The 26,686-nt window shown below is 33.3% G+C and overlaps 1 long non-coding RNA gene across 1 annotated transcript in view, besides 1 other annotated feature; it reads left to right on the top strand.

Moving 5' to 3' along the window:
• The first annotated feature begins 18,394 nt into the window (after positions 1-18,394).
• LOC124903236 (uncharacterized) overlaps positions 18,395-26,686 on the top strand; it is a 116,328-nt gene continuing 108,036 nt past the window's right edge. The window contains exon 1 of the long non-coding RNA XR_007063922.1: positions 18,395-18,809. This is a non-coding gene — a long non-coding RNA (uncharacterized LOC124903236). The remainder of the gene's footprint in view (positions 18,810-26,686) is intronic.
• Positions 25,587-26,087: an enhancer, noted in NCBI's record as "H3K27ac hESC enhancer chr13:63978433-63978933 (GRCh37/hg19 assembly coordinates)". NCBI's record gives its function as "activates a minimal SCP1, AML or CMV promoter by ChIP-STARR-seq in naive H9 embryonic stem cells {active_cell/tissue: H9 hESC(naive)}" and the evidence as "EXISTENCE:reporter gene assay evidence [ECO:0000049][PMID:30033119]".

Here is a 26,686-nt window from a genome sequence, read left to right on the forward strand (position 1 = left end):
TTGGTCCCACATCCAAGGAATCATTTTCAAGACCGATGTCAAAAAGCTTTTCTCATTTTCTTCTAGGAGTTTACAGTTTTAGGACATATGTTTATGTCTTTAAGCCATTCTTGGTTTACTTTTCTGCATGGTATAAGATAACAGTCCTGGGCTGGGCACGGTGGCTCACGCCTGTAATCCCAGCACTTTGGGAGGCCGAGACGGGCAGATCACGAGGTCAGCAGATCGAGACCATCTTGGCTAACACGGTGAAACCTCGTCTCTACTAAAAATACTAAAAAATTAGCCGGGGGTGGTGGCAGGCGCCTGTAGTCCCAGCTACTCGGGAGGCTGAGGCAGGAGAATAGCGTGAACCCGGGAGGCGGAGCTTGCCGTGAGCCGAGATCGTACAACTGCACTCCAACCTGGGCGACTGAGCGAGACTCTGTCTCAAAAAAAAAAAAAAAGTACATATTATTAATACAATGTTTAAAGGAGAGGCAAAAAAAAAAATTGCCTGAATACCTGTAGTCCCAGCTACTCTGGAGGCTGAGGCAGGAGAATAACGTGAACCCGGGAGGCGGAGCTTGCAGTGAGCCAAGATCGGGCCAGTGCACTCCAGCCTGGGTGACTGAGCGAGACTCTGTCTCAAAAAAAAAAAAAAAAAAAAAGAGATTACAGTCCTATTTCCTTCTTTTGCATGTAGATATCCAGTGTTCTCAACATCATTTGTTGAACAGACAATCCTTTCCCTGTTGGATACTGTTGGTGCACTTGTCAAATATCAGTTGATAATATGTGTGTGGGTTTATTTCTAGACTCTTTATTCTTTTCTGTTGGTCTGTATGTCTGTCTTTGTGTCAGTACCATACTTCTTTAATTACTATAGGTTTGTGATATATTTTGAAATCAGAAAGGATGTCACCTCCAGTTTTGTTTTTCTTCCTCAAATTGTTTTGGTGATTTTGTGTCTTTCAAGGTTCCATAAGAATTTTAACATTCATTTTTCTCAATTTTGTTAAAAGATGCTATTGGAATTTGATGGAAATAGCATTGACCCTGTAGATAACTTTGGGTGATATGGATATTTTAACAATAATAAGTCTTCCAATTTATGAATGTGGGATGTCTTTTCATATATTTGTGTCTTCCTTAATTTCTTTCATCAATGTTTTGTAATTTTTACTGCGTAGGTCTTAAACTTCCTTGATTAATTTTATTCCTATTTCATTCATTTGGGAATTTTTTAAAATTTCGTTTTGGAATGATTCATTACTATTATATAGCATTATAACTGATATTTGTATGTTTATGTATTCTGTAATTTTACTTAATTCATTTATTAGTTCTTACAGTTTTTGTAGACTCTAGGATTTTCCACATGTGAGTCATGTCATCAGCAAAAAAAATATATAATTATACTTCTTTCATTCTGATTTGGATGCTTCTTATTTATTCTTCTTGCCTAATTGCTGTGGCTAGTACTTTCAATATTATAATATGTTGAATAGAAGTGGTAAGAGTAGGTACCCTTGCCTTGTTCCTCATCTCTCAAATTGTCTTATAAAAAGAAAGACAGAAAGTTTATCTCCAGCCTGAATTATTAGATGAAGATTGGACCTCAGAAATTATCAAGGTGATCTTAACCTTATTTTCCCCGCTTTACACAAAATTTTACTTTCCCAACACTCTTGAAAATAAGCATGGCCTTGTGACTTCCACTGTCTGAGAACAAAAACTAGTTTTCAGTGTCCTGTGGAAACTTTCAGTGTCAGACATTTCCCTGACCAGCCTTATGTGGATTATTGTATTGTTACAGGGCCTCCGTCAAGTTTGATTCCATTGTGACTATTCCCTCTTAGTCATGTGGTATAAATACGAAATAAGCTTTGTTGTTGTTTAGCCATAATATGTAGGGCTCTATTTTCTAAAAAACCACATTATAATCTATCCTTACTGATACATTAACAGCCAAACTAAATTAATTTCAACAACAAAAATCTATAACATATTTAGTCTTCTATTTCCACTCTCATTGTTTTGGTTCATTCTCATTATAAAATCTTATCTTTAATTTCGAGGATGGGGTGATTCTTATCTATATCCTGCTTGTATATAAATACATATTTTTAGAGAGGAATATATTTTAATTAATCAATAAAATAAACTGAATTTCTGTACATAAAATAAATTTCTTACCTAAAGATTATATCCGCAGGACATAACAACTTAATAAATTTGGTTTCACCAGCGTACCAACAGGTTTGTTATCAGATTTAATACAAAACGCTTGCAGGAGAGGACAGGTGCTTGAAATTCAAATATAAAAGAATAGATTTAAAAAGTTACTTAAAAAGTTAAATTTGAATTAAAAATTTTACTGGAAAGTGAACTTGATCTTTCTCCTTATTTACAACCTTACTGTATTCTTACATTTTTGTCTAGCTACAGAATTCTCAAAATATTTGTCTTTCTCTGTCATATTCAGTGATTTAATATTTTACTCTGAATGTTTCATTTCTATAGATGAGTAATGTGTGAGCCCAAGGAAAAGCCCCAGCTTCCTTCCTCCTAACCTACCATTCAATTTCTCACTCTCCAAAATATGCTAAAACATACATACACTCTCTGTCTTACACACACACACACACACACACACACACACCTGAAAATTCATGACTCTTTCATTGAGAATCTCAAGTATCACAAAAAAATTCTGCAGTTGAATACCATATTGACAATAATTCTTAATTGAACAGGTTTATTTTACTGTATTCTCTTATATTTTAACCTACATAGAATTTGCAATATTGTCCTAAGATTACCTGAGACAACAACATGCATTTTTAAACCATTCTTTGGGCCTTATGTTACATCATACACTCATCCTACCTCCATGGAAAAAAATATCATGACTAATTGGTTTCAGATTACAACATAACTTTCTTCCTGATTTATTCTTACCAAATTGCACAGTTCCGAAATTTCACTTCCCTACAGTACACATTTCCTGCTATATTTAGGTTATATTTTTCATGTCCATTTATCATTTGTCACCTACTCTTCCTCACCAACTGATAGAGATGTTCCAATGCCTATTCATTTTATTAGTTTTATTGTGACATCATTATGTACCACAATATAGACCTTTTTCTAACGCATGCAGCCTGATGATTTTGGTATAGACACAGATTGTGTGATCATGATCGCATCATCGCTGATTTCATAACATTTCATCCCTCCCCAAAAATCCTCATGCACATTAATATTCGCTTCCCACTCCTCTCTCACAAGTTGATATCTGACAACCATTAACCTACTTTTTGTCTCTAAGGATTTGTCTACTTTGGACATTTCACATAAAGGGAATCATAGACAACTGTGAAATCAGAAACAACCAGGCAAATACACAAAATATCTTTTAAAAAGTTCATACCACACTAACAAAAAAATACTATGTTCGGTGTTCCTCTACTAATGGTAGAACTTATATACAGAAAGAGTTGATTTCATTTGTGTTCTGTATTATTCAATCTGTAATCTTCAAACAACGAGTAATTCTAGGCCCTAGAATCACTGACAAAAGACTACATAGTGTATAATCAGAGAAGGAAACAGATTTTACTAAAACCTTAAGTCTATCACAGCAATTAGCTTAACAGTCATTGTGATAAGACTGTAAGAAACCAATTTTAAAGTTAAGTGCTTTCAAGAGACAAATAGTCAATGAAAAAGATTTCTTTTGGCATTTTTTATAACAATTTTAATACCATATTCATATTTTATCATGCAGTTGTTTCTATGGATAACTATTGCTATTTAAGCTTAACAAAATCTCTTCTTGTCTATTTTAATTCATTTATAGATATGCAATAAATAGGATATAACTTTCTACAAATGTTTAAAAGGCAGAATATTGATATTTTAACTTAAATATCAATTTATATTAAAAAGTGATTATAAGGAGATTTTTGGCAATTTAACCAAATGAAATCATTCTTCATATTATATTCTATAATACTACAATACACATTAAAAATAAGATAAAGTAAAATACTGGATTATTTGGTTAACAATTCCAAGCTATCTGTCATTAAACTTGAATATTTTATGAGAAGCAAAAAAGGAAAAAAGAACTTACATAAAATATTTTAGTTTCACAAAAAATTAAGAGAAAAATGTATGATTTTTCTGATTGACTTGAGTAATATGAATAAGTAATTTGCTCTTAAAGTAGCAAAATGAATTAATTTTGAGCACAATGAAATTAAAAGGTTTTAGCTTCCCTGATCTGAGCAAAGCAAGATGAATTTTTAATACAGTGAATTAATTAGGCACATAATGAGGAATAGAATACATAATATTCCAAATTCAGATAAATAGCAAAATAGCCCAGATTCTAAAAGAAATAAATATCATCCATCATAGACACACCTTAAATCAAGTTTATTGGAAAATATTAATGGCAACAGATCTAACAGAACAACATAAAATGAATTATATTGCTGATTCTGTTTCACAAAATTACATTTTATTTTTACCCTCATCTGTAACTTTCTCTGGAGTTAATCTTAGGACATTACTCATTTTTTGAAGGTGTTAATGTACCATAAAGGATTTGCATTATCGTTAGACATACCATCTATGCCAGGTGTTACATGTTCTCTGCATCTGCCCTGAAATTCATTTAAAAGCTTATAAATCTTTATGACCATATGATGTATTTCTATGATCGGTGGGATCCTTAAAAAGCTTCTGAAATATATATTATAAAATTAAGTTGTTTTTTATTTAACTTTTTTATACAACGCAGTACCTATGGGATTAATTTTAATTCTTTTACTTTTCATTATGTTCAATTTTATTTTGAAGTACTACTGCTATATATATATATATATATAAACTAATACATATATGGAGATTATAATATTTTAATATGCAATATGATGTAGAGATTTGCAATCCAATCCCTGGAAAGGAAATCACTTCATATTTTCTAGACCTGTTTCCTAATCTACAAACCATTGTGTTGGAACTTGATATATAAGCAGTAGTACATTTTTATGATCATTGCTAAATTATAAACTATTGTGGAACATTAAATGATGAATAAAATATTAACTCATATGTTAAATAGATTCCTTAGACAATCACAGGCAGGTTATATAAAATATATTTAATTTTATTAATTCTACTTTTCATATTTTAACAAATAAATATACATCTTTGTCAAACAAATAGAATTGGTATTAAATAGCTAAAGAGATAGTTTCAGAATAAATTTTATATCATTTGATAACTCAAATGGGGAAATATTTTATTAAACTATTTTCTTTCTAACAAAAAATTTTTAAGATGTGCTAAAGTCTACATCTTAAAAGGTAAAGGATTTGACAAATTCTATTTTAAAACAAAAGACAGGTAATGAATTTTAGTCCTTATAATTTATTAACTTGTAATGATCCTTTAAAATATGTCTTATAAATTACTATAAGAGTTAAAGCAAGTTTCCTTACCATATAGTAACTTCTGTAGATGTCTGACATGCTTACAGAAAACACACATTTTTGGGTACCACTGCATATCTATTGTATCTGAATTACCAAAAACACTTAATCTTCTTCCTTCCCTCCTCCTTTGCTTCCCTCTCCACAATGATTTTTAAGAAAAATCCCCATGATTCTTATTAATGGCAACATTTAGAAAAATTTCATATTCATCATTAAAATGTTTAGCATTTAGAGAATATTATTGGCTTTATCAATATATCTAATTTAGAAAAAAAACTGCATGCTTCATGAATCTATAAACTCATGAACTTTAAATTTATTTTATTTATTTATTTATTTATTTTTAGAGACAGGATGTCACTTTGTTACCCAAGGTGAGTGGAGTGGTACAAACATAGTTCACTGCAGCCTCTAACTCCAGGATTTAGGGGATCCTCCTGCCTCAGCCTCCCAAGTAGCTATGACTACAGGAATTGTGCCACCATGGTTGACTCATTTTTTTAACTACTATTTTTTTGTGGAGATGAGGTCTCACTACACTGCCCAGGCTAGTCTTGAACTCCTGGCATCAAACAATCTTCCTGCCTTCGCCTCTCAAACCCTGCGATTACAGGAATGAGCAAGGCCCAAGCTCATATTTAAAAAATAATAAATAAATCAGAATTTATACATTGGGCCGTTTGTTAGGTCATTCAAGAGCATTTTGTCCTCATCTTAAAGTGATCGTTAAGTGAACTTGTTTTAAGAATAAAATACAGATCTGTTTTTCTACAAGTATAGCTGATGTTCAGATATACTTTAAAAGTTACATTATTCAGTGTCTATTTTGCATTGATTTTTTATTATATAAGAATCAGAGACAATATGGTAATATACTGTTTTAGTAGAAATCTAGGTAAAGTTGATATGTAGTTTCTGTGCTTATTTCAATGGACATTTATTTTTTACAGAATTGTAAAAAGAAAATCAAGCATAATATCTCATGAAACATTTAAGAAAAGCTATTTTTCTGTATGGGTTTAAACCAGTATGAGTGAGTAGTGAGAATTCCTAGTGCTATATATACCTCTTTTTACTCATGTAGTTCCTGCAGTAACACTATGAAATAGACAGAAACTTATCCCTACTTTATACCTCCTTGGATATAAGATTTCTTCATATTATGTACTGAGTACTCTTGATATGACAGAATATATATTTACTCATGTCATTGGCAGGTGGATTTATTATTATATTTATTAGCTAGTACAAAAACTATATGTCTATTTACAGAGAGTCAGATATACAAAATCTCTTAAAAACAGAACTTATGGATTCCTAAACATATAAACATTTATTACTGGACTCTGGATATTGTCCTCAATGAAAGGTCATCAAATTTCTATATAATGAAAGAATCTACAATTTAATTTAAAAAAAATTAAATGTTATCCAATATCATAATAGAATATAATAGAATAATTAAACTTAAGCCAAAAAGAGTAATAGTTTTGTTCATCATATTATTGCTTATTCTATAATAATTGAGTATAGAATATGAATTATATTCAATCTAATAATCATCTTTCTTCCTTCATTCAAAATGTATTGGAGTTTTGTTTGTTTGTTTGTTTGTTTTGTTTTGTTTCCCAAAGTAAGGCATTAGGGACGTAGTACTAAACAACACAATCAAGAACTTGGCCCCAAGTAGATCATTATTCAAGCTTTAAAAACTAACAATGAATAAATAAATTAGCTGATTCAAGTTTTAATTAATGCTGAAGGAAATTAATAGAACGATGAAATTCCAAAGGGATAATGTTGCTATCTTATATGAAGCAATCTGGGAAGCCTCTTTGAGGAGGTGTCATATGACCTGAAACTTGATGAATGAGATTGGATTGCTATAAAATATGAATACTAAGGCAAGGAATATGAATGGTATGTTATGATGAAGGAAAATAGGGAGAGTAACTGGTTTAGCTGGACTAAAGGAAATAAAAGCAAGGGATTGAATAAATTGGAAATTTAAACACTGAGGCTATACACTGAGATTAGGTTTATAAAAGGTCAAGAAAGTGAAGGTACCAAGTTTATTTCAAGTTCTATGGGTGGAGTAACATGAGTTTATATGTGGAAAAATGATATGACCTCTCTATACTGTGGGAATAAGAAGAATCTATGATTATAGTCCCAGAAGAGGTTTTATTTTTCCTTTTTTTTTTCCATTTTGTTTTGAGAATATGGGTTTGTTGTGGCACTGTTTCCTGAGATGGGAAACCCAGAGTACAGGTCCTTAGGGACCTACAGGACATCTCTGAAGTAGTAAAATGTGGAGTGAGAAAAAACAAGAGCTCTGTTTTAGACGTCTTAAATTTGAGAGCATTATATAACAAAGTGGATAGGTCACATAGACATTTGAATATTTGTTGTGGAGCTTATGAGTTTGTACATTTTAATATTGTTAAAAAATAGTCAAAATCTATTTGTAGTTAAAAATATAAGATTATGTAACCTTGTTTACAAAGGAAATGTAGAGAGTATTTTGGGTGCGTAATCAAGCTGGGAGGCAGGCAGAAGCCAGTAGGAAAATGAGAAGAGTTGCCCAAGGGGAAGAGGAACACCAGGAGCCAACAGCAGCAATCCAGTTTCAGGGGTCAAAGGTGATTTTAAGTCACACCAAAGACTTTTCTTTCCCAACTTGTAGTTTATTTGGAAATATAATAGCCAAATTCAATGGTCTGTTAGAGATGCAATGATTAATTTTGCTTTATTTCTTGGATTTCTCGGTTCATGTCTCTCCCAAACTAATGTTGCCTACAATGAGAATATCAGGATGTAAATTCTTCATCCTTAATTGATTTTATTCTTGAGTTATTTTAATCATTTTATTCAAAGATTGTGTCAATCTATTTTCAACCAATTTGGGATCGAGGAACAGTAATTTTGTGTAGCCCTGCAAACTCCTGCCTGCCTTTTCATTTATGTTATTGAATCTGTTGTTTTTTTCCCCAAACCAATCTCTTTTAGACGGTATCTTGTTCTATATAGTCAATAGCAACCAACTTATATTTTTCCCACTCTGTTTTCTAATTTGTTCTTTTAAAACTCCCAGCTGAGTGAGAAAACAATATTCTTTCCTAATTAGAACAAATGGCATATTACTAAATATTTTTGTCATTGCCTAATTCAATCATTATTCTAGCCTTCTATTAATATTGTTTTTGAGAGCTGTACCACCTTTTGGTACCAATTACTGTATCACTTGTACTCAAATTTTCCATCACAGAGCTTGTCATATAGCTATAACTATTCTCACCAGAGGCTGGGAAATTTAGGGAATTAGAATTATCTGATGTCTAATAGTACCCTCCATACTACATTGCAAACTTTTTGCTTCTTTCCTCTTTTTCCCCCCCGGATACAGCAGAGGAGAGGAAAGAGCAGCACAGACAAAAGAATCAGTGCTGCACAAGAAGAAAATACTAAATACCCTGAGAAAATATATTTTGGTTGAAGTTCTTACAGAAAGTTAGGCAGAAATGATAGAATGTAAACTCAGACTTAAAAGACAAACAAATATTTTCTACAATAGAAAGCCTAAGTATTGTATTGATTTCCAAAAGTAGCTCATCGACATCTTGAGTTTCTTTTTTGTAACTATAAACACCAGGTTGTACACTACATCCACAAAAGGAAACTTGTCAAATATAGTACCCTGGAATCTGCATTTTATACAGGTCTCTGTATCATGAAAAGAATGTTCTACTTTATCTGGTTCACAAACCATTCATTTAATAGTATAAGGAGCTGCATAAAATGCATTTTCAAATCAAGTCAATATGAAAAATCATCATTTTAATCACACACAGTAGAATCCTAAACCTCACAAGTATAAATCATGAACTTTAATTATTTTGTTGAACATTGTTACATATTAGATTTCAGAACACATTTTCAGTAACAGGAAAGTCCTGCAAGACTCAACAGAAATAAAGCTCATACTTTTTGATTACTGAGGTTAGTAATGCTAAGCTGGCACATACATAATTTGGAGAAAATCAGGTTAAATAAATGTTTAGATTATCCTTTAATTTGACTGCATAAGTATCACATTATTAACACAACTTAAATAAATTTCCTCAAAATCTAAAATATCTGTTTTGGAAGTTACTTCTCTGTTCAGACTGGGTACCAACATGAAACAGAAGGCAGAGTCAAATTAGAATATTTCAGGGAGTATTTAATAAATATAATATTTATAAACATGTGAGCAGAGTATAAGCAAATCTGAAAGAATGATATAGTTCTGAGGAGCTTATAGCCGCAAAGCTATTACTACTTCTAGCACTAAAAGAAGAAAGGGAAGGAATCATTACCAAGACTTGGGAAAAAAAAGACACAGAGAAGGCTGTCTTGTGAAGAGCAATGACTTTCAATCATGGAACCCAACCAAACTAGAGTATTCTGCAAGAAAGAGCCAGAAGAATAAATGTTCTTACTTCACTCTCCTACTCCTAGTTCATCTCTTGCCAGGGATATCATTGACTGAACTAAACTGTCAGCTAGAAAATAAGGAAGCCAACCTTCCAGAGCAAAGTTGGGTGGAGAATGGTGACGAATAGATCTGGATGAGTAAATGGAAGACAACCAGCATAATTTGAGATTTGGCGAGAGAGAAAATAACATTGTCTATAAAGAAAATAAAAGGCCGGTAGCAATGGCTCACACCTGTAATCCTAGCACTTTGGGAGACTGAGGCGGGCAGATAATGAGGTGAGGAGTTCGAGACCAGCCTGGCCAACATGGTGAAACCCCGTCTCTACTAAAAATACAAAAAAAAAATTAGCCGAGTGTCATGGCGGGTGCCTGTAATCCCAGCTACTCGAGAGTCTGAGGCAGGAGAATCACTGGAATCTGGGAGGCGGAGGCTGCAGTGAGCCGAGATGGCGCCACTACACTCCAGCCCAGGCGACAGTGAGAGACTCTGTCTCAAAAAAAAAGATGAAAAGTAAGAAGAATGGAATAACTACACTTGTTGACCGTTTAGTTTATAAATTTTTTTCGTGACAATTAGTTTGTGATATCATTTGATGACTATTGTTGATTGACAAATATGGTAAAGCTTTCTTTATAGTGGTCTAATCAAAGTTGATAAAAACTATAATTGGTTTGCTATTTGGTTGCTATTTCTGGAACCACATTTCAATTAAACTAACAATACTTTGTGAAGTTTATTTGATATATAGCTCTAATAAAATAAATTTCTTATTTCATTGATAGGAGCAAATAATGCTGTTGAGAAAACAATAGACATTATTAAAACTAGTAAATTTGCTAAAATAAATTAGTGTCTTAAGTGCAGCATTGAAAACCTCTCCTAAAATTCTCATACATTTTCCAGCAAGAGTTGGCTTCAATACATATAAATAAACGTGACTCCTCTGAAAATGTTTTTCCCCAAATTTTATATCGAATAAAATCTGATCTTGTTCTCTGCCTACGAATGAGATATAATTGATGTATAAGTCAGCTTAGGATGCCACAACAAAATCCTACAGAATAGGTGATTATAACAACAGAAATTTGTTTTCCCATAGTTGGGAAGTCCAAATTCCAAAATCCAAAACAAAACAGATAACTAGAAGTCCAAGATCAAGGTGCCAGCAGGATTGGTTTCTGCTGAGGGCACTCTGCCTTGCTTGCAGATGGCTGCCTTTTCACTGTCTCCTCACATGGCCTTCTGTGCATGCTCATGGAGAGAAAGAGCTCTTTTGTGTCTCTTCCTCTTCTTATAAGAAGCATACCCTGCTGGTTTAGGGCCATACCCTAATGACCTCATTTAAACTTAATTTTTTTTTTTTTTTTGAAACAGTGTCTCCTCTGTCGCCCAGGCTGGAGTGCAGTGGTACAATCTTGGCTCACTGCAACCTCCACCTTCTGAATTCAAGTGATTCCTATGTCTCAGCCACTCGAGTAGCTGGGACTACAAGCATACCACCATGCCTGGCTAATTTTTGTATTTTTAGTAGAGACAGGGTTTCGTCGTGTTGGCCAAGCCGGTCTCAAACTCCTGGCTTTAAGTGATCCATCCACCTTGGCCTCCCAAAGTGCTGGGATTACAGATGTGAGCCACTGCACCTAGCTTCCTTAATTTTATATATATAAATATATATAAACATATATAAATATATATAAACATATATAAAAATATATATAAACATATATAAATATATAAACATATATAAATATATAAACATACATATAAAATATATATAAACATATATAAATATATAAACATATATAAAAATATATAAACATACATATAAAATATATATAAACATATAAATATATATTTTGAGACTGAGTCTCACTCTGTCGCCCAGGCTGGAGTGCAGTGGCACGATCTCGGCTCACTGCAAGCTCCACCTCCCAGGTTCATGCCATTCTCCTGCCTCAGCTTCCCAAGTAGCTACAGGCGCCTGACACCACGCCTGGCTAATTTCGTTTTTGTATTTTTTTTTTTTTTTTTAGGAGAGACAGGGTTTCACCGTGTTAGCCAGCATGCTCTTGATCTCCTGACCTCATGGTTCACCCGCTTCGGCCTCCCAAAGTGCTGGGATTACAGGCATGAGCCACGGCATCCGGCCCTTAATTATATTTTTAAAAGCACTTGTCTTTTAAAATTCTAGTTGAATTCCCTCAACTAGAGGGAATTCAATTCAATATACAACAAATAACATACAAAATTTGCATTTTATTAAGATAAATGTAGTTTACGAGTAAGGTAAAAATCATGAGTACCTTTCTCCGGAAAGCATATTAATAATTGTAGACTATTTTTGTAAACAACAAACTTTGAAATATCTGATAGAGGAACTTACATCTTCTACTACATTTCTCTATTCTATTCTCCTTATATAGTATTCATATTAGTAAAATACATTTTAAAATAAAAAAGAAAGTATAAATAAAAAGATTCATCTTAGAGAATACCTTTCAGTTTTAGGATGAAATTCCAAAAGAAAGTCTTAGAATAATTTTTACTATTTTGTAAGAGTAACAGTCTAATCACTCCTCAGATTTTATAACCAGCTAATGATTTATTTTGAGACAATCATGAGAAATTTTCTTTAAAACTTTATTTGACAAAATTATTTTAATTGATCTCATAGCATTATGAGTTTTACATTCTTTATTAATTTTAGCTATTGCTATGACAGTCTCTGGGGGTATTTATACAAAATGTAAAGTACTCAATAGATAAATTTCTTTGGTTTTGCATTGTGAGTTCAAACTTTTAAGTTGACTTTTTGGCCGTGATAATGTTGTGATTCTAAATTGTGCAACAGATGTAATTGTACCTGTTAAAATTACCACCATGATATTAGAGGTATTTAATAATGCAAAAATTATATTTTCTCCTATTATATGTGTATATCAGTTCATTTTGTTTCTTAGATGTGGGAACAAAATCACAAGTGACAAAGAAAAATACATGAATTGAACTTCATCAATGTTAAAAATGTTTATGATTCAAAGCACACCATCAGGAAAGCAAAAAAGACAACTCAGGATGAAAAAAATTGCAAATTATATATCCAACAAAGGACTTGTATCCAGAATATATACAAAATTCTTACAATGATACCTTAAAAAAAAGCCTAATTAAAAATGCAAAAATGATATAAATAGATGTTTCTCCAAAAGTAAATACAAAATGCCATGAAAGGATGCTTAAAATCATTAGCTGTCTCAGAAATGCAGACTAATTAATTTTATATTCATTAGTCATGACTAAAAAGACAGATAATTATAAGTGCTGGCCAGGATATACAGAAATTGAATAGCTCAGATATTGCTGATGAAAATATGAAATTTTATACATAAGGTCTCCATATGACCAGTTTCACTCTTTAGCACATAGTCAATAGAAATGAAAATATATTTCCAAGCTTGTAAATGAAGTTTATAGCAGCATTAGTCATACTAGCAAAAATTTATAAAAAGCCCAAATATCTATCAACTGATTTTGCATAAACAAATATGGTATATTCATACAATAGGCTATTATTCAGCAATAAAATGCAATGAAGCACTTATACATGCTACGACATGGATGTACCTTGAAAACATTACACTCTGTAAAATAAGCCAGCTAAAAAAAGACTACATATCATATAATTCAATGTATATAAAATGTTCAGAATATACACAAATCCATAGTAACAGAAAGTTGAGTAGTGGTTGGTAGGAGAAGTGAGCAAAAAGAAAAGAAAATGACTGTTAACAGATATGGAGACTCCTCTTGGGTGATGTATATTTTCAAAAATTAGGTAGTTATAATGCCTGCATAACTGTGAATGCAATAAAAACAACTGAATTTTATACTTTAAGTGAGTGAGTTTGTGGTATGTCCATTTTATCTCAATAAAATTATTATAAAATAATGATAGCTTAATAAACATTGCTCCTGTTTTTTTGCTGATCTTAATAATTTATTGATAAATTCTGTTTTAGAGGGGGAAATAACAATATCATGTACATTTGTAGAATAGCAGCTTATTCAATAATAATACAGTTCAAATAAACATACTTTTAACATCTAGTTAGCTATTTGTTATTAGACTTTGTCTTAGTTTTAGACTCAGTATTAATAGCAGTATTAATAAATACAAGTAGTATTTTTAGTATTCCTGCTACTAGGTAAATATTATTATCTTGTATTATTCAACAAATTAAACAGGGTTGCAATTAAATGAAAATATAATAGGTATTAAATATAACCAATTCACCCCAAACGAGTTGATCTCTAAATTTAAGACTAAAGTAACCCAAAACACACAAGTAAAATGAATGGGATAGGGAAAAAACAACATTTAAAATCATATACTTTGGCAAGTTTGTGGAAAACTGTTTTAATATAAGTGATATAGTTAGGTTTTGTGTCTCTACCCAAATCTCATTTTAAATTGTAGTCCCTAGGTGTTTAGGGAGAGACCTGTTGAGAAATGATTGAATTTTGGGGGCAGTTTTCCCCATGCTGTTCTCGTGACAGTGAGTGAATTCTCACAAGATTTGATGGTTTTATAAATGGTAGTTTTTCCTGCACTCAGATATGCTTGTCTCCCTCCTGCGGTCTTGTGAAGGAGATGCCTGCTTCGCCTTCTGCCCTGATTGTAAGTTTCCTGAAGCACCCTCAGCCCTGTGGAACTGTGAGTCAATTAAACCACTTTTCTTTATAAATTTCCCATTTTGGGGTATTTCTTGATAGCAAGTGTGAGAAAAGTCCAATGCCATAAGTCAGATAATTTATTCTACTATACTATTCATCATTCTATAACTATTGCTGAATTAGCTACCAAAAGAAGAAATTATCACAAACTTTCCAACAAATTAAAATTTTCAGACATCAACTATTAACATGTCAAATTATAATAATTTTAGTGTTACACAAGGATTAAAAGATTATAAATGCTTTCAAATTAACCTTGTAGGAAATACAGTATAACCTTAAAATAACCTAAGCTTAGTATTATAGTAGAATGGACAAGAATAAAGTTTCTTCCATTTGCTTGCTGAAGAAATCTGTAATAAGAATGTATCATATCTAAATTAGAAAAAAATGCCTAAGGTGTATATTAATATGTTGTCATGAGCAATCTTTGCATGTAACTATCATTTAAAAATTGCGATTAATCAATTAGTGCTTTCTTGGGGCATAACATAATTCATTTAAGATTTGGGATTATTGAAAACAAATCAAATTTTAATTGCTCAATTTTTCATGGGATCAAAAATTGGGACTGTTTTATGAATTATAAACATATTTTCTTAAGGCTAATTATTTAAGGAAAAAGCATACATATCTTTCACTTCAAATGCCAATTTATGTTTAAGGCTGTCACTGAATAGTAAAATGTCATATTCCCACATCCCCTTCAGTACTCTCTATGCCCCTTCTCTATTAATTTATTTATAGAGCTTATGATATCTGAAATGCTATCTATTTTGTTTACATACTTATTTTTTTACCACCACAGTATATGAAATACTTGAGGGAAGGGATTTTACTCACTGCTAAATTCTTTGCATTTGTAACAGTGACTGTCAATACTCTACGCGTAGTAAAGTTTTCTGACAGAAAAAAGGAAGAAGGGGATGGAGGAAGGGAGGAAGCAAGGAAGGAAGTAAAAACTTTCCTTCTCTTAATACATATAAACATACATAGGGCATAATTTTGATATTGACATATTTATGTATGTATTTTAACTCAGGTGTAATGTACCCTTTGTATCTATTAATTCCCATTCCTCTTTTATATTCTTAAATGAGCAATAAGAATTTTGTGTATCTCTTTTCAGTCCACATTTATAGACATATTTTTAAAGATGTATGCAATAACGTATATATGTTAAATTATACATGTCTGACATCTCTATGAGATTTACATATTTTCCACTACCTTTTGTATTATCTATGCATTTTTATACTCATAGATCTGTTTCATATAGTTCTCAATTTAACTACTATTACATGAGTATATCATATTGATTTATTCATTTCTTCATGATAATTACTTACTTTAGTTCCAAGTTTGGCTATTAGAGAAAGTAACACTGCAATGCCCTTCTTTGAACACTTTGCTAGTGCATATGAACAAGAATTACACACACACAAAGAGATATACACACATATATAAATGAGAAAGGGAATATATGAATGTATATGTAATATATATGCATTGATTCACACTGCACATATAGCAGTTTACAAGATACAGTAGTGCCAATTTTATCTCCTAAATGTTTATACAAATTCTAATTTTCAAATCAGATTATGAGAGCTTTTATTGTACTACATCATCATTACCAAAACTGAGTATTATCATGCTCTTTTTTTTTTAATCTGACAACAGTGACCTGATTTAATTTTGATTTCTCTGATTAGTTGGATATCATTTTAATGTGCTTTTCTCATTTGTATCTATTTCTGGGTAAATTTTTTATTTATTAACTTTGTCAAAATTTATTGGATCATTTTTCTCTTTTCTTATTGATTCATGAGTTTTTTAAATATTGTGGATACACAATTTTTTATCTGTTTCTAGTCTTGGAATATTATGCCTTTTAATGAAGTTTTTTTACATGTAAAACTTTTTAATCTATTACTTTATGATTTATGCTGCTCATGATTTCTAAACATGTCTTTTTCTACAATTCATAGAAATATTTCTTTACATTTTCTTATGAATATTTTCAATTTTTAGCAAATTTAGCTCTTGTGGAATTTGTTTGAGGACATGCTATGAGATAGTGTTTTAGTAACATTTTATCCCATATGCATAATGTATTGTCCCCAGCTACATATTGAATTGGATTTTCTATACAGGTTTTCAATGCTAGCACTCTACCAATATCAATGTATTTGTGGACCTAGTCCTGTGCTTTCTGTTTTGTTTTATTGATATCATTTTTAAGTCACATAACAGTGACAATATTATTTTAAATATAAATTTTTAAAATAATGCTGTCAGATAGGTAAGATCTGACAACTTGCTTTTTAAATGTAGATTCTTTTTTGACATTTCATCATATCTTATGTAATTCAGAATCAATTTGTTAAATTTCATGAAAAATTGTGCTGGGATTTTTATTGGAAGTTTGTTTTAATTCATAGATTATTTGAAAATCATTTACATCTTTATGACTTTGGGTCTTCCAAACAACAAACATGGTTGTCTTTCTATTTCATAAGATCTTTGTTTATGCTTCAGTAAATATTTAAATATTTGACATAAAAGTAGTGCAACTGTTGTTAGATTTACTTTTGTGAGAAGTATGACATATATTTATCAAAATGTTGATAGCAAGTATAACTCTTTTACATATATATCAGCATTACTAGTACCATTTTTGCTAAACTTGAATAGCTTTTCTTATTTATATGGTGATTTGGGTAGATGGTTTATGTAGAATTATTACTTGTTCCTTGAAGATGTTTTAAAATTCTGCATTAAAACTGGTTGCTGCTGCTTCCTTAATGACAGATGGTAGAATATTTCTGAGATTTTTTTTAATTTAAAGGTTATTGGTGTATTCTTGTGTTAACAATTTATTAGTCTTTTATTATTTATATTTTTTCCAAAATACTTATTTCATCTAAATGTTCAAAACTGCTGGCAACATGTAGCAATCATTTCACTATATGTACATATATCAAAACAGCATGTTGCACATCTTAAATATATATAATAGAAAAGGAATAAAAATACTAGCAAGATATCTGTAATTATGTTTGCTTGTGTCGTGTATGATTTCCTTCAGTAGTGTTTTGTAGTTTTCCTTGTAAAGGTCTTTCACCTTCCTGGTTAGGTATATTCTGAAGTTAGGTATATTGCTCACTCTCCAGTTGTTTGCCTACCTCCTTCTTCCTAGACATGGGACAAGAACTCAGGACCCACCAAATGGCGGGACTGAAAGAGCTGTAACAGAAACAAGGCTGAAACATGTCGCCTGCTCACCACATTGCAGGCAACAAGGAGAGAAGAGATGTGGCCCTTTGGGGAGCCCGGACCTACGGGCTCTGTGAGCCAGCCTTGTGACACCTTCTTTCGGGCTTTGTGATTCCTGATGTCTCCAAGCTCCCGGGGCACCACCATATTCCCTGGTGCCCACAGTGGAAGCCGCTTAAAGTATGCCTGATCTAGCTGCAACCTTGCACAGGGCCGGGGTCTGTACTGGCACCTGGAGCTGCCCACCCCACTGCAACCAGCACACCTGCCTGTGTGCAGCAGCTGGACCCCGTGCTCGCTCACACATCCCTCATCACTTCCCACCTGACTCACCCTTGGCAGGTGTGGTATTCATGCTGATAGTGCATGCTGAGTGCAGCCTTCTGGGCCAAGTGGGCAGAACAAGCCCTGTGGACCCAAGCCAAACTAGCGCAAAGGTGCCACTGGCCATGGAGGTTTCTGGCTGGAAAAGTAAAACCCTAAGGACCCTATGACAATGGCATCTCATTGTGGTTTTGATTTGCATTTCTCTGATGATTAGTGATGTGGAGCATTTTTTATATGTTCTCTGACTCCTTGTATGTTTTCCTTTGAGAATGTTTGTTCATATTCTTTGCCCATTTTTTAATGGGGTAAATTGATTTTTGCTTGGTGATTTTTTTAAGTTTCTTATAGATTCTAAATATTAGCAAAGTCTAACTTTTGATTGGTAGAAAAACCAAGAAGCTGCGCTGAAACCAGGGATTTTAGTAGTTAGCCATCCAAAGCAAATAACAGTAAATCCTGTTCAAAAGTCTGAGGAATCACTGAGAATTTGCATATTATGGGTAAGTACCTAATTCACTTTATTCACTTAAATTTTGATTGTCCTATAAAATAGTATTTACATTGTCTCTTTCTTAAATCTGTTTATTAAAAATAATCATGGAATTACCTTTCTAAAAATGAAAAACTTAGTTATGCATTGGGTTTTTTTTCTTTGGAAAGGTCCTTGAATGCCTCTTTCAGAAGGGATAAAAGCTGTTAATTTCTGACTAAAAATAAGCATTGGGGCTGTCTTGTGAATAAGCATAACTATTTTTTTTCATGTAAACTCCAATTTAATTAACTATGCATTAGGGAATTGCAGAATATGGCAATAGAATGTTGATATATATCCACAAAGTTTCTGTGAAATATCTCTGACCACTTTATTCTTTATCTTCAGCAGTATGAGACCTTTGCTTTCACTTGAATATGCATAATTATACCCTTTCCAGCCTTGTATACTCCTTGAATAAAAATACATATTGCTCTAGTGTTAATAGTTTTACCCTCAAACCCCTAGATAGTTCTCAAAGTAACTAAATAAAATTAAGTATAAATTTTGGATTTACATTGGCAAGAAAAAGACATATTAACTAAGAGCAAGGTTAGTTTTTAGATGATCTGGAAGACTTCTGTACTTCTTGTTAATATCTTTAGAAAAAAATAAACATTATTTTTAGTTTCTTTCTTTCACTTTGTCTCTCTCTTTCTCTTTCTCTCTTTTTTCTTTCTTTCTCTCTCTCTGTTTTTCTCCCATTTATTTAGCCTATAGGTTGAATGAGTTATTTCACTAGATACATTTAAGATTATTTAAGAATCACATTATAATTTTCTGTCGTATTATGCAAAATTAAACATAATAGGTGAATCAAGATTTGTTTATTTTTACCAGGAAAGGCATTTTGTTGTTAATATTATACTAACTCTTAATAATGAATTTGATTTCCTCAAATTGATGAGGAAATTGCTGATTATATGAGGTTTCTATATTTAGTAAAAATGAATATTAATATTATAAAATGATGAATTGCTAATATAGGACATTGAGCTTGCAATCAACCATAAAATATCCCTCCTATAAAAGACAAGAATTTACAGCAATAATTAGAGAACTCAATTCCATTTCTAATGTCACGTATAACAAAGGAATAGGGAATTCAATAGCCCTTCATAGTAAGAAATAATAATTATTTTTAAATGCTCATGTCATTATTTTGGTGAAATATTTTACTGTGGGATCATTATCAGCATTTTATTTTAAAACATATTTCAGAAGAGAGGAAAATAAGACAAATATGTACCTGCTCAGTGGTACTAGAAAAGTAGCTATTGAAAAAATGTTATTTAATTAATTAAATCTATAAATATCATTCTTATTTCATAACCATAAGTAGTCAAGAAATGTTAAATTCATCACCATTTCTGTCATGATATATTAATGTTTTCAATTATTTTTCTTTAACAGTAACAGAATATCACTTTTTGAATGAAATTATGTTTTCAAATATTAGAAACACCAATCTTAACAGGGAGATGACTTTTTTTTAATTGCCCTTAAGGAAAAGTTCTAAGCTTATGCTAGCAATATATGATATACACAACTAGATGGGCTATAAATTCAATCCAATAAAACATTTTTAAAATAGACATATCAGATTATATGCATTTAAATACTTTCATCTCTCCAATTTAAAACATAAAATAGAAAAACTACAACATTTATGAAAAAATTTTAGTGCTCCTGGTGTTTATAAACCAGATATACCTTTGACTCAGGCTCTATTTTCTTGGAATTCACACTAAAGCAATATGTAGAAACACACAAAAAAAGTAAGAAGAAAAGACCAGAGATAAATTCTATAATGTAAAAATGGGTAAACAATATAAATCATACTTTACATATCAAAACATGTCATAGGAAAACTAATACAGCAAACTCATTACTTAAGAAATGCAAAGTAAAATGTGATATCTCCAAATTTAACTTATTAAAACTTTTTAGAGCATCAGATATTGCTGATTTTGAGGAAGAATTCACAAAGTGTTGAATAAAACAGAAATGGTAAAAACATCTAGTCTTCAAAAAATAATAAGAGAAAGTATTTAGTGAGTGATTATTGTAGAACAAGTATTTTTCTCAGTGTTTTGCATATATCCACTAATTTAATCATTAAAAATCTCTACTATGAATATTATTGCTAACATTTTCAGATAAAGTGTGGAGGGCTAATGGTAAAGTTAAAATTCAAACTCAACACTCTCACTTCAGAAGACCTGATTTTTACTGCTCACTCTCCTGTCTGTTGTGGATTACAGATACTATGGAAAGCTTAATACATATATAAATATATGAACTTTCAATTTGGGGCATCTTCCTATTGCTGACCTCAGTGCTTAGGCTTCAGATCTCAATGCAACTATTTTGAGCTTAAAATGCCCAAATATCCCGTCTAAAAACAGGGTTAATTCATCTTTTCTTGTGCCACGGAATCCTTTGGTAGTCTGGTGAAAACTATGGACCCATTCAGAGACTCATACACAGTTTTAAGTTAATAAAAATATATAACATTATTAAGGGAAATAATATTATTTAAGTATGGTTTGCAAAATGTTAAGTGGGGGGAATTTGTGATGTGGAAATGTATATGCTTCTTTAACAAGATCTTGTGTTGGTTCTAGTAACTGTTTTACTTTCAAAGTAAGGATCTGCCGGGCACTTTATAATCCCACGCCTATAATCCCAGCACTTTAGGAGCCCAAGGCGGGTGGATCATCTGATGTCAGGAGTTCAAGACCAGCCTGGCCAACTTGGTGAAATCCCAACTCTACCTAAAATACAAAAAATTAGCTGGGCGTGGTGGCATGCACCTGTAATCCCAACTACTCATGAGGCTGAGGCAGGAGAATTGCTTGAAGCTGGGAGGTGGAGGTTGCAGTGGGCTCAGATTGCACCATTGCACTCCTGCCTGAGCAATGGGAGTGAAACTCCATCTGGAAAAAAAAAAAAAAAAAAGGATAACTCATGATGACCATACATGTATTTCAGGATATTGCTACAAGAATTCATGATTCCTGAAGTAGAGCCTCTGCCAAAGGTTTTATAAAACCTAGTTTTTAGAATAGTGATTGACCTTCCTTTTCTAGTGTCTCCTGAATCTGAAGACTATGGCCTAGTTACAGCAGTAGCTTCAACTACTTTGTAGTCAACTAAAAACACCATACATCGCTTCTTGTTAATACTCAACAATTGTCAAAGATGTATGACCAATAAGTTATTATGTCTCACTTTTATACCTTCTTGTTGATATGCCTTCCTGTTGTACGTTCTTGTTTACAACCCAAATTTCTATTGTTTTTCACTTACATTCCAACATTTTATGTGCTCTGGAACACTCACATCTTCAACCTCTTTCAGTAAGTGTTCCATTTGCCTGTTTATCTTTTATAAAAATGGATATCTCAGGGTAAGTGTGTGGTTTCCTTAATTACATTGCAGCTACTATATAAATCCTTGCTTCTTTATGGCTTAGGCCATAAAACTTCATCAATATCTACTTTAAAAAATGTTGCCATATATCAACATCTGTTTCTCAATGAAAGTATTGTAGAACGACAAACTAGATAATATGTGGACTTTCCTGTTAATATCGTGTCTCTTAAGGGCAAGCAATATCAAATAAAATTAACTTGATTTCTCCTCAAATATTCATTTTCTTAGCCATACTCTTATAATTACCTTCACCTAGGACAATTCTACAACTGTAAAATTAAATTCAAATGGCCCACTATTTGAGAACAAATTTTGATCTTACTTACTTAGCCTCAGCTACCGTAGCCATTAATCAGTTCTTTATTTCAGATGTTCTCTCCAGACATAGGTTTTTCTCTTTCTAGTCAGGTGGTCAGAAGCATAGTTGAGCTGAAGAGAGAGCTAAGATGCAAGGTGTCAACATAGTCAATTAAAATTACAAGCCAAAATGAAATAACAGTCAGTATTTTAATTACTCACTGTGATAAAATTCACAAAGCTCTAACTCTTCTCAGTTCCATTTTCCACCATAAAATGGACTGGTAGAAAGGGTCATCGCACTGCTGTGGGAGCCCTGAAAGAAAGGCTCCTGGAGAAAAGGTGGAGAGGGTTAGGTGTAGAAAAGTATGGAGTACTGAGTTACAGTGGAAAGTTTTGTTTTCATGGTTTCTACCCCCTCTTTCTGATAAGGAGGTCTCAACAATGGTGCCCAAGGAAGGCCTTGGCCAAACTCCTGAGATCAAAAGAGCTCCTGATGAAAGTGCCTGGGCTAGGGAAGCAAGAATGCTTCAGAGCATGGCTGGTCAGGGGGGCCTGAGTTCCTAATGCTGACCCCACAACTACTTCAAAGCATTGTCACCAAGTTTGTTTGGAGAGGGCAGCTTTTCCTCAAGATGCCTGTTAGGTAAAGCCTTTGTCATTGGCTATGGTCAGCCATGGAAAAAATCATGTGTTTCCTTCCTTCCTTCCTTCCTTCTTCCTTCCTTCCCTCCTTCCTTTCTTTCTTTCTTGCTTTCTTTGTTTTTTTGCCAGGATCTCAACTCTAGTTTGTTCTTCAAGACTCCAGTCTGTTCTTCAACACTATTGCAAAAATAGTCTTCCATTGCTCAAACATCAGTTGTTACAACTGTTAACTTCATTTTCAGTAGATGATATGTATTGTTTCTTTAAATTAATTAAAAAGACATGATAAGAAAAATTTATTTATTTTCTACAAAAGTATTTCAAATCACTCTTACTCCATGTGCAATCTACTTACTGTTTCTTCTTGAAAGGTAAGAATTGTCCTTTACCTCCTCTACAATGTATCTCCTCTACACTTTGAATCCCATCTCTTCCCAGATTTAAGGACCATAACTCAGTAATTTTTGCCCTTTCCTGTAAAACTGCACCCTCTCTCTCCTAATAGTTTTCTCTTTAAGCTTGCTCAAGTTTATTCTATTAAAATATTATAATAAAAATAAATATTCCCTCATTTCAACTGACTTCCTCAGACTGTCTTGTTTTGCTCCTCTTCATCACTCCCATATTTCATAAAAAATTAATTAAAATTTACTTTCTCACTTTCTACTCAGTACTAAAGCCACATGAATTAGTCTATTCTCATACTGTTATAAGGAGACTACCTGAGACTGGGTAATTTATAAAGAAAGGAGGTTTAATTGACTCACAGATCTGCATGGCTGGGAGGCCTCAGGAAACTTACAATAATGGCAGAAGGCAAAGGGGACGCAGGCACATCTTACATGGTGGCAGGAATAAAAAAGTGAGCAAGTGCCACAATTTAAAACCATCAGCTCTTGTGAGAACTCACTAAATATCATGAGAACAGCATGGGGAAAAATGCCCCCATGATCCAATCACCTCCCAACAGGTTCCTTCCTTGAAATATGGGGATTACAATTCAAGATGAGATTTAGGTACAGACACAGAGACAAACCATATACTGTACTTAGACATCTGTATTACCACTACACTGAAACTACCTTTATCAATGTCATCAAGAACCAACTCATTTTTATATTCAGCTTTTATTTCTTAAGTGTCTTAAAATTTACTGGTGGAAATAGCCTTTGACACTGTTGATCAATTCCATTTACCTTAAAACACTCTCTTCTCTTGACTTGTATATTTTCTCACCACCTGACTTTGTCCGGACCTCTTTTACATTTTATTTGAACTTTTGCTTTAATGGTTTCCCTTCTTCTGCTCATTCTTTAAACTTAAGTGACCTACCTATAGGAAATCTTCATTGCAATGTCCCTTGAGTACCCACATCTCAGGTGTTCAAATAGAACTTGCCACATATTTACTCCAACACTATTCCTCTTATTTTCCTTATCTCAGTGAATGGAGAAATCATTTAAATGCAGATGACTTAGTCATTATCTTAATCTGCTTGTGCTGCTGTAATAAAATACCTGAGACTAGGTAATTTATAAGGAAAAGAAATTTCTTTATTGCTGCTCTGGTGCTGAGAAGTCCATAAAGTGTCAGCATCTGGTGAGGGTTTTCTTGCTGTGTATTCACATGCTAGAAGTTGGAAAGAGAAGAGGACCAAATGCTACATGAAGCTTCTTATCTAAGGGCTTTCATCCCATTCACGAAGGAAGAGCACTCACAGTCAAATCATCTTTTAAAGGCTTCCACTATTAATACTACCACGTTGGAAACAACTGAATTTTGGAGGAGACACAAACCATTGCAGTTATTATCCTTTGCCTTCCTACTTTCTTATCAAAACACATGTACAATAAAATCTTGTTGATTATGCACATTCATCTCTGTTAATTTTTTAGTTTTTAGGGAAAAAAAGCAAACTTCATGCATATGTATTAAATTTGTGTCAGATACTTTGATGTTTAAAATGCAAAGTCATGGTCTTTGGCAGCTCCACCCCAGTGACTTTGCAGGGTACAGCCTCCCTCCTAGCTGCTTTCACAGGCTGGCATTGAGTGTCTGAGGCTTTTTCAAGAGCACTGTGCAAACTGTCAGTGCATCTACCTTCCTAGGATCTGGAGAATTGTGGCTCTCTTCTCACAGCTCCACCATGCTGGAGGACAGTGGCCCTCTTCTCACAGCTCCACTAGATGGTGCCCCAGCAGGGACTCAGTGTGGGGACTTCAACCCCACATTTCCCTTTTGCACTGCCCTAGCAGAGGTTCTCTATGAGGGTCTCTCCCCTCCAGCAAACTTTTGCATGGACATCTAGGCATTTCCATATATTCTCTGAAATCTAGATGGAGGTTTCCAAACCTCAATTCTTGACTTCTGTGCACCCGCAGGCTCAACACCACGTGGAAGCTGCCAAGTCTTGGGGCTTGCACCCTCTGATGCCATGGCCTGAGCTGTACCTTGACCCCTTTTAGACATGGCTAGAACTGCTGAGATTCAGGGCACAAAGTTCCTAGGCTGCACAGAGCAGAGGGGCCCTGGGCCTAGCTCTGGAAATCTTGTTTTCCTCCTAGGCCTCTGGACCTGTGATGGGAGGGGCTGCCTCAAAGGTTTCTGACATGCTCTAGTGACATTTTCTCCATTGTCTTGGCAATTAACATTTGGCTCCTTGTTACTTATGCAAATTTCTGCAGCCGGCTTGAATTTCCCCTCAGAAAATGGGTTTTTCTTTTCTATAGCATCACAAGGCTGCAAATTTTCCGAACTTTTATGCTCTGTTTTTCTTTTAAAATTGAATGCTTTTAACAGCACCCAAGTCACTTCTTGAATGCTTTGCTGCTTAGAAATTTCTCCTGCTACATACCCTAAATCATCTCCCTCAAGTTCAAAGTCCAACAGATCTCTTGGGCAGGGGCAAAATGCCACCAGTCTCTTTGCTAAAACACAGCAAGACTAACCTTTATTTCAGTTGTCAAGTTCCTCATCTGCATCTGAGGACCACCTCAGCCTGAATTTCATTGACCATATCATTATCAGCATTTGGATCAAAGCCATTCAACAAGTCTCTTGGAAGTTCCAAACTTTCCCACATTTTCCTTTTTTCTTCTAAGCCTTCAAAACCATTCCAGCCTCTGCCTGTTACCCAGTTCCAAAGTCACCTTCCACATTTTGAGGTATCCTTACAGCAGCACCCCACTCTATACCAGTACCAATTTACTGTATTAGTACATTTTCATGCTGCTAATAAACAAATACCCAAGACTGGATAACTTATAAAGAAAAAGATATTTAATGGACTTACAGTTTCACATGGTTGGAGAGGCCTCACAATCATGGTAGAAGGTGAAGGAAGAGCAAAGGCATGTCTTACATGGTGGCAGACAAGAGAGAATGGAAAACCAAGAGAAGAGAAAAACCCTTCATAAAACCATCAGATCCCATGAGAATTCACTCACTATCATGAGAACAGTACAG

The sequence above is a fragment of the Homo sapiens genome, chromosome 13, assembly GCF_000001405.40.
Source record: "Homo sapiens chromosome 13, GRCh38.p14 Primary Assembly".
In the NCBI taxonomy this organism is placed as follows: domain Eukaryota; kingdom Metazoa; phylum Chordata; class Mammalia; order Primates; family Hominidae; genus Homo; species Homo sapiens.